Below are 10154 nucleotides of genomic sequence, written 5' to 3' on the forward strand. Positions count from 1 at the left end.
CAAAGTTGCTTCCGCATTTTTGGGTATCTTTACAGCAACGCCCCACTACCCAGTACCATTTTACTGTATTAGTCCATTCTCATGGTGCTAATAAAGACATACATGACATTGGCTAATTTATAAAGAGGTTTAATTGACTCAAAGTTCTGCAGGGCTGGAGAGGCCTCAGGAAACTTATAATCATGGTGGAAGGGAAAGCAAACATTTCCTTCTTCACATGATGCAGGAATGAGAAGTACAGAGCAAAGGGGGGGAAGCCCCTTATAAAACCATCAGCTCTCATAAAAACTAACTCACTATCATGAGAATGGCCATACAAGGTCTTTGGGGTGTCACTTTTCTGGCAAGAAACCTGTGGCCAGTTGCACCTTTGCCTGAGTCTTGCTAGAGCCCACTGGGCTTGTTCCACCCACTTGGCCTGACAGGCTGTGCTCAGTTCACACTACCGACCTGCATCTGACACCTCCAAGGGAGACTGTAAGTCAGGCATGGAGTGGTGAGGGGTGTGTGAGTAAGTGTGGTGTCGGGGCAGTACAGTCAGACACACCGGCTGCTGCCATGGGGTGGGCAGCCCCAGGTGCTGGCATGGGTGCCAGCTCTTTGTGAGGCTGCAGCTGGACCAGGTGCATGACAAGCAGAATCCCTGGCTGGCACCAGGGAAGGCAGTGGTGCCTAAAAGCTTGGAGACACCAGTAACTGCAGGGCCCCAAAGAGAAAGTCACAGCCCTGGCTTGGGGAGCTCCCAGGTTTGGGTTTCTCATAGGGCCACAGGTCTTCTCTCCTTCTCTTCACCTGCAATGTGGCAAGCAAGGGACATGTTTTAGCCCTGTTTGTGTTACAGCTCTTTTAGCCTCACCATTTAGTGGGTCCTGAGTTCTTGTCCTGTGACCAGGAAGAATGAGTGATATGGTTGGCTAAGTCCCTACCCAAATCTCACCTTGAATTATAACTCCCATAATTTTCACATGTTGTGGGAGGGACCTGGTGAGAGATAATTAAATCAATGGGATGGTTTTCTCCAATCTGTTCTCATGATAGTGAAAAAGTCTCACAAGATCTGATGGTTTTATAAGGGGAAACCCTTTTCACTCGGCTCTCATTATCTCTTGCCTGTCACCATGTAAGATGTGCCTTTCACCTTTCACCATGCTTGTGAGCCCTCCCCGGCCACATGAAAGAGTAAGTTCATTATACCTCTTTTTCTTTACCAATCACCCAGTCTCATATATGTCTTTATCAGCAGTGTGAAAGCAAACTAATACAATGAGGTATGTGGAAAAGTAGAGGGTAAGCAAGACAAAGAGGAGCTTTATTGAACAATAGAACAACTCAGAGAAGACCCAAAGTGGGCAGCTCCTCTCTGTAGCCAGGGTATCCCAACAAGTTTTCAGCTCCTAGCAGAGAGAGTAGCTCATCGTTGCAGGCAGGTCATTCCAACAAGTGTTCAGTTCTCAGCAGAGAGGAAACTCCTCTCTGCTGCTGATCATCCTAAAAAGTGTTCAGCTATCAGTAAAAAGGGTAGCTTCTCTCTACAGCTAGTTGTTCCATCATCTGCAGCTCTTTGCATAGAGTAGGCCCTGGAGTGGGTGGCTCCTCTCTGCAGGCAGGTTGTCCCATTGTCTCTACATCTCTCAGCAAAGAGGGTAGCTCCTCTCTGCAGCTGGTCATCCCATCATCTCTCCAACCTCTGCTCTAATCTGGCTGGGCCCAGGGTTTTATGAACCACAGAGGAGAGAAAGTGTATGCCAACTGGTCCATGAGCAGCCATGGGCAGGCCCAGAAAAGGCACCACAAGCCCCCACTCTGCTTCATGGGACTGGCAGCCAGGCCTCCAGCCTCCAGGCTTTCCCTGGCCTGAAGGTGGGGCCTCACTGGGGACAAGTACCCTTCCACCCAGGATCACATCTGCTTCCTGCTGCCATCCATGGTGCCCAGGCTGCTTATACCAGGGGGCACCTGCAGGCCAGTGCTGAGCTGTTCTCAGCCCCCCACTTGGCCTATTTCCCATTCTTGTTGGCACCCAACATCCAGACTGGGCTGAGGCAGCAGGAGGCTGGTGTGTCAGCACTGTCCCAAATGTGTGAACCCCTGGCAGGGCTGTGACATCAACCAGGCTCAGCTCCACATTGCTCTGAGATAGGAGTGGGCACTGACAGTGGGGAGAAGCCAGGTAGCTGGAGCAGGAACTTCTGAGCCTGCAAGGGTGGCAGGGGACTTTCTGGGCCCCCGAGAGTGCAGAAAGTCCCGGGTGCACAGCCCCAACTTGGGTGGCTGAACCTGCACCCAAGGATAATAAGGATCCTGCCTGTTTCTTGCTCCCAAGAGCACAGAGAGGCCCAGGTCTACAGCCCCCACTTGGGCAGTTGGAGCCACACCCAGGACCCAGCCTCAGAGGGGCTGGGGCTTGCTCCTGGCTCCCACTTGCACTGTTGAGTGTGTGTCTCTGGCCACAGCCCCTCACAGCCTGAGACAGGGACTCCAGGTCGTTGCTGGGTCCAAGCCAGCGTCCAGGGCAGAGGCAACATTACCATGAGCTACCCTCATGGTCCCAGGGCTAAGTAGTGGCCCAGGGCTCCCTCTCACCTGGCTTGCTGCCCTGCCTAAGGGGCACTACAGGAGCAGATCATGGGCCCCGGGCCTGACCATTGGGAGTGTCAGCCCCAGCAATCACCCCAATCTGTGGCAGACCCCAGGGGCATGGCCCAAGGAGGCCCTGCACAGAGCCTCCTTCTAAGGCGCAGGAACCCAGCACCCTTGACGAAGTGGGCACAGTGACCGAGCCACTGGCCAGGTCTCCAAAGTGGGCACCACTCTCACTTTCAGCCCTGGAGTCCCAAAGCATAGCCCCAGTTTTGCACCCCAGGCCCAGCCCCCATGCTCTGTGTACAAGCATGGCAATACCCTGGCCCAGCTCCACCTTGGGGCACCTCTCTACTTAACGACTCAGCTTCCCTGCTGGTAGGTGACTTGGCTTGGCCCCAACACAATGTCCCCCATGACATAGGGGTCTGGGGACTGTCTGCCTCCTCTCCACACTCTCCCCACAGCAGTGGCAGGCGAGAGCAGTGATGTGGGCCCAGGGTTCAGAGTGACAAAGGCTACAGGCCTGGGGATGGGTCTCATCCACCTGTGCAAGGGTGGGGGCAGCACAGTCAGCTGCATCAGGAACATGGGATACAGGGGATATGGGGCACAGTGGTCTCCTCACTGCCACTGCTGCTTTTGAAGTTGGTCCTGCCACCACCACTCATGCCTCCCCACTGCAGCTGGTGCAGGGCAGTGGCCACTTCAGATGGCCCACCATTGCCATCAATCCCCACTCAGAAGAGGTACATGTAACTGCCATTGGGATAGGAACAATAGCCACTCTTAAATGCTTTATGCTGACAGGGGCATTGTATTTGGGAAAATGGCTGTGGGATCTCTCTCAGAGGCCTAGCTAAGAATCCCTGGTAAAAAGGAAGCCATTGTCTGAGGCTTTTATTGCATGACCACTTGGATTTTCATGGCCCATCCATCTTGTCTCTTCTGAGCTGCAGTCAGATGTTACTGGTTGGTTCACAGGAATATACTTTACTCTCTTGTCAAAAGCTGCAAATAGCTCAAAAGAAAAGCTTCTTTGATGCTGAGAAACAAACAAAATGTTAGCAATTTTCTAAGCAAAAAATTTAAGAAAAGATTACTTCTGTCTTCCATTAGTTTAGTCCACCCAGGAAATTCCTGTTCACAATCTCCAAAGTTATCAGAAACCTACACTCAAGAACTATAATCCATCTTTTGAAGAGGATAAAAACAACGCAATTGTCTGTTAATATCAAAATGTACTAGGGTAGTAACAGTCAAACATGATTGACAAATAAATGTGGTCACCTCTATGGTCTACTATAACCTAACACAATAACCCTAATTATAATTGATAACACATACTCAGACATCAGAATTTTAGATTTACCATTTTGGACCACATATCTACATTTTGAAGACATTTCTATTTTCCCAATAATCTTTATAACTGTTTCTATTTCTCAAAGATTAAAGTCATGTGAACTAAATGGCATTACAGCTTCTATTTTTCTTTAAAAATATTTGATCTAAGCACTTATTTTTCCTTAAGCCAATGAATTAAAGACCTCTTTCATATAAGCATCACAAATATAACACATATCTATCTACACAGATAGAGAGAAGGAGATCTAGTAGTTGTTAAGATTTTTCATGTGCCAAACTCTTAATTGGATTACTGTGCTGGGGGTATAGCTCTTTTTCCAAGGAATCCCAGGCCACTAGAAGTCATCCTGGAGTCCCTCAGGTGTGCATTAAGAGTGGCAAGACAGAAATGGAGACAAATAATTCGGTTGACTAAGAAGAAACACCTTTTTCCAGAAAAACAAGATTCACGAAAAGAAAAGACATAAAGGCCTTTTAAATATACCTATACTTGGATATCCATCTTTAATTAACCTGACTTTTAACCATAGCACTCTCTTCTTAAGAAGTTCTTTTAAATCTATTATTACCCAACCTTAGCCATGCCAAATGGCAAATATTTCTGGCTTCTGCACTCATTATGGAGGGGCAGAGAATGTAGTGCCTTTTACCATTCATGTAACCAGTTGCACAGAGAGAAAGAAGTCAAAAGTCTGACTGGTAAGAACTTTTACCATTTTGTCAGCATGACAGCCTTCTGGGTTCTGTTCCCCTGAGCTACGGAGCCCTGTTGACCCTGGAGTCCTGTGAAGGGGAAAAAGACAAAGAGAACTTGTCCGTCCTCAAGTAATTGCCAAGCAATTACGGTTTGGGAAAATAAAACTCTTCCCAATTTGGAGGATATATCTGAGGGGAGTGTCCTGTGCTATGGAGATGCAAGTACACATCTATGAAGAGAGGACAAAGGAGGAAAAAAGAAAAGTATTTTTTATTTCTTTCTCCAACGTCTGAGCATCAAGTGGGTTCCAGTGATTTTGGATGCACTGGAGAGGAGTGCAGGCTGAAAATGATTGGTTACCCATCTGAAGAGGGGAAAAAGGCATCCCATTGTTCTCTCTCTTCCTAGCAAATACCCATGGTACCTGATGGAGAGAAAAAAAAGACATCCCTTTTTCTCCTGACCTTATATCCCTGAGTCCTGGCAACCTGTGCAGGTGCTGACCATGGGTGCAAGTGCAACCTTCACCCATGAAGTGGGGAGACTTAACTTCAGGAATATTCTCACTTACCTGTGCAGTGCCTAAGCCTCCTGCTGTCAGTAACCTTTGAGTTCCCTATACCTTAACTATGTCATGGATGTGAGCATGACCTCCATCAACAAAGTGGGAGGGCTTAATTGGAAGGAATTGGTCATGCTCACCTGTTCTGTACTCTTTGACTCCTGCTGTGATCTGTCTCAGGTCTAGTGTTCCATTCTAGGTCTTCAAACCAAACCTTGGGACAAAAAGATGCCTCAGGAGTGTGTTTGGACCCATTAAATTAGTCCCAGGTGGCCCTCACCAAATTGAATCTAGGAATTGGTAGGGGCACCTTCTCTATTGCTCCACTATCATAAACTGGTGGAGCTGTGGGACCATATTTTCCTCAAACAAGGGAGGGAAAGGGAGTCCCGGGAATTGGGAACCTGGCCTATTAAGGTGCTTCCCAAAAGAAAAAAAAAAGCTAAACCCCTCACATAGAAAAGCTCTCTATATTCACAGGACTCTGTTGACTTCTAACATGGTGGAGGAAGGAGATCTGAGACACCACTCATGGTCCTGTCAAGAGAGGAGAACTGAAAGGCCTGCTCTAGATTCCAGGAGGAGGTCCACCCTCTTTTTCTCAACCCACAGAATCACTGGAGTTCCTGGATGGCAATGGTGATCTGAACCACCAGAGCCAGGCAGAGGTGCCATGGGACCTGCCAATCCTGCTGGACCATTTGGGAAACTGGCCCTGGACCCATTGACCCATGTCTCTGTGGACAGTTCGCCCTTCCATGGTCCTCATCGAAAACTGGACAGGGCACAGGTGGCCTCCTCCCATTGTTCAGACAGTCCCTCCTGAAGTGCCCTGACTCACCACATTTGTGGCAGTCAACAGGTGCATCTCAGGGACTCTGGGGCCAGGACCCCATAAGGCAGTTATTAGAGCGTCTGCCTTTTTCTTATATCTCCCCTCCCTTTTCTGGACTTCCTCCCAGCTTCCACTGCAAAACACTAAGGTGGCCACTCCCAAGAGGCCCTCTAAAGTACCATCTGGTCCCACAGCTTGTTTCTGCAGCTTCCTTCTGACATCAGAGGCTGCCTGTGCAATAAACTTATCCCCTAGGACCAGCTGTCCTTTGACCAAGTCAGGAGACAGAGAGGTGTGCTTTGCCAAGGCTCCTCCCAGCGCCACCCCACCTCACCCCAGAAAGGCAGTGAGACTTTTATCCAATTTCTAGTCTATCGTGGATAGCCTAGTAATCAAGAGGCCTAGTTTCAGTGCCTTGCAAGCCCTATAGTATGCACACCTGAAAGTGTTTCTTCCTTCTTTCTCCTATTTCATCATTGGGGTCCTATTTAAGGTCCTCAAATGGCACTGCTACTTTTCCAATCAAGTAAGTCTCATCCCCTTCCCTGGCCCTATATGAGAAACAAAGCTCATCCCCAAAATTATCTGCCATTTGCAGGATGGCCTGCCTTTTATCTGTGGTCAGGGTCTGATTCAAAGGTAACATGACATCCTTATAGGAGAGCTTAAATACTTGGGTTAAGTTCTGGAAAGCCTTTATATACCTGTCAGGGCTGTATGAAAACTTGCCAAAACCTCTCTTAATTTACAGTAAGCCCTGTAGAGAAAAGGGGACCTTAATGGGGCCATAGCCACCTAGCATCTCTTATAGTGGCAGAAGCGAGACTTGCCTAAAATGAGGATTTCTAGGCTGGGGCAAGCTTGAGAGAAAACCTGGGTAAGGAGGAGCTGAGGGGCTTGATTCCCCCGCTGGAGGTACCTCTGGGGTTTGCTTCCCTATTTCCTTGAAATTGCCCCTTGCAGCCTCTCCTGAGATGGCCAATAGAAGGACTGAATCAATCCTACAATGTTGCCAAAGGTCCAGATTACCCTACAAGGTATAGAAGATCTGCACATATGGAACATTGGACCATTTGTCCTCACATTTACAGAAAAGCATCCTTCCTGAGGTCACGGTTCTTTTCTATACCTCAAGTATTAAGTTGGCAACCAAGAAAATTACAATAACATTTTCACCACAAATTTACATAAGATGCCAAGGCACACTTTGCTTCATCTGTGCTACTCTTAACCTTCCATTTTATACTTTTGATGACTAAGCCAAATGCTCATTCTACCCAGTAACATCTCTGGTTTGCAAAAAGATCCTTAACAGTTAACATTGTATATAAAGAAGAGAAAGAAACCATGGCAGTGTGAAAGAAAGAAAAAATAGTAGGAAATACTGGAGGTCCTAGTGCTGACACCCTAACAGGTGGTTGAGGACTAGAGTTAGTCCAGGGGTCTTTGGATAACACTGATGGCTACTCTCAGATACCCTCAGTTGCCCCAGCACCTCCTTCCAGTGTCACATGATGGCTAGACCTCCAAGAAGGGAAACTGAGTTGGAAGAAAGCCAACATTCCCAAAACTCAAGGGTAATGGGGAATTGACAGTGTCCTCATTCCCAACACTCAAGGGTGATGGGGGATTGACACTGTCCTCCCCAGCAAGCCTGTCCTCCATGTCTTAAGTCTGGCAGCTGTGCTAGTCACTTCTACCTGTCTGACAGAGGCCTGGTATTTGTCTTGCATTTTGGCTATTGTGGAGTTTAGGGACTCTGAAAAAAGGACAGAAAGAGTTGATCTGCTTTTACTTACCCTTCCACAGATCCCTAATGAGCCCCCAAGTTGTTACAGGATCTTCAAGGTGTCACTTTTCTGGCCAGAAATCTGTGGCCAGTAGTATCTTTGCCTGAGTTTTGCTCAGGCTTGCTGGGTTCATTCCACCCATTTGGCCTGGCAGGCTGTGCTCAGCTCATGCTATTAGCCTGGATCCCATGCCTCCAAGAGAGACTGTGAGTCAGGCATGGAACAATGAGAGGTATGTAAGCAAGTGTAGGGTCTGGCCACTGCACAGTAAGACACTCCGGCTGATATCACAAGATAGTCAAATCCAGGTGCTGGCGTTCATTCCAGCTATCTGTGGGCCTGTGGCTGGACCAGGTGCACCACAAGCAGGTTCCCCAGCTGGCACCAGGGAATGCAGTGGTGCCCAGAAGCTTGGAGGAACCAGGAATTGCAGGGGCCTAAAGACGGAGTCACAGCCCTGGCTCAGGCAGTTCCAAGGTCTGCACTCCCTGAAGAACCACAGGTCTTCTCTCCTTGTCTTCACCTGCAATGTGGTGAGCAAGGGGCATGTTTCAGCCCTGTTTGTGTTATGGCTCTTTTAGCCTTGCTATTTGGCAGGTCCTGAGTTCTTGTCCTGTGACCAGGAAGAATGAGGTACGCAGAGAAGTGGAGGGTGAGCAAGATGAAGAGGAGCTTTATTGCGCAATAGAACAGCTCAGAGAAGACCTGCAGTGGGCAGATCGTCTCCATAGCTAGGGTGTCCAGTGAGTGTTCAGATCCTAGCAAAGAAGGTAGCTCCTCTCTGCAGGCAGGTAATCCCAACAAGTGTTCAGTTCTTGGCAGAGAGGATAGCTCCTTTCTGCAGCTGATTATTGTCTGCAACTCTCAACAGAGAGGATGACCTAGAATGGGTGGCTCCTCTCTGAAGGCAGGTCATCTCATCGTCTCTGCATCTCTCAGCATAGAGGGTATTTCCTCTCTGCAGCTGGTCATCTGGTCATCTCCCCTTTCTCTGCTCTGCTCTGGCTGAGCCCAGGGCTTTTATGGGCCTGAGAGAGGATGACGTGTGTGTCAATTGGTTTATGGGAAGCCATAGGCAGGCTTTGAAAAAGTACCACAAGCCCTTACTCCAGGCCACAGGACTAGAAGCCCAGCCCTCAGCTTTCAGGCCCTCCCTGGTCTGTAGGTGGGGCCTCACCAGGGGCCCACTCCCTTCTGTCCAGAAGCTCATCTGCTTCCTGACACTGTGCATGGTGCCAAGGCTGCTTATGCCAAGGGGCACCTGCAGGCCATCACTGAGCTGTCCTTTGCCCCCTGTCCAGGCTCCCTCTCACTCTTGTTTTCTCCCAATGTCCAGAGGGGGCTGAAGTGGCAGGGGGCTGGTGTGTCAGCCCTGCCCCAAGCATGTGAACCCCCGGCTGGGCTGTGACAGTGCTCAGGCTAAGCGCTACATTGCTCCAAGTTTGGAGCAGGCATCAACAGCAGAGAGAAGCCAGGTAGCGGGACCAGACACTTCTGAGACTGCAAAGGCAGTGGGGTGCCTTCTGGGCTCCCAAGAGCACAGGGAGGCCCAGGTCCACATCCCTGACTTGGGTGGCCACAGCTGTACCCAGGATGGTGGGGCTGGTGTCTGCTTCCAGCTTCCACCAGCTCCCTGGAGCATGCAGCCACAGCTGTGCCCCCTCATAGCCTGGGGCAGGAGCTCCAGGTCCTTGCTGGGCTAGGGCCACTGTCTGGGGCTGGGCAATGTTGCTGCAAGCTCCCTATCACCCTGGTGCTCAGGGACAGCCAGAACTTCTGCCTTGCCTGGTTCATGGCCCTGCAGGGTGGGCACCTCTGTGAAAAGATCATGGAACCCAGGTCCAGCTATCAGGAGTTTCATGCTTGGTGTTCACCCCAATGTGGGGTGGACCCTGGGGATGTGGCCCTGGCCGGGCTTGCACAGAGCCTCCTCCTGAGGCAAAGAAACCCAGCACCCTTTGTGGGGTGGATGTGGTGACCATGCAACTGGCCAGGTCCCCAAATGGGTGCCACTCCCGCTTCCCAATGCAGGCCGCTGAAAAATGACCCTAGCTCTGCATCCCAAGCCTGACCCCTGCACTCTGTGTTAAAGCACGGCAATGCCGCAGGACCAGCTCCACCTTAGGTCCCTTCTCTGCCCATCTGCACTGACTGTTCCTGCATCACCAGACAACTCAGTCTGGCCCTATTGCAACAACCCTGGGACAGCAGATTCCAGAGATTGTCCACCTCCTTCCCAAGCCTGTCCCGCAGCGGCAGTAGGCAGGAGCAGAGACATGGGTCCCGAGGTCCAGAGCGACAGAGGCTCCGGGCCTGAGGGTG

Source organism: Homo sapiens, chromosome X, assembly GCF_000001405.40.
Source record: "Homo sapiens chromosome X, GRCh38.p14 Primary Assembly".
NCBI classification, from domain to species: domain Eukaryota; kingdom Metazoa; phylum Chordata; class Mammalia; order Primates; family Hominidae; genus Homo; species Homo sapiens.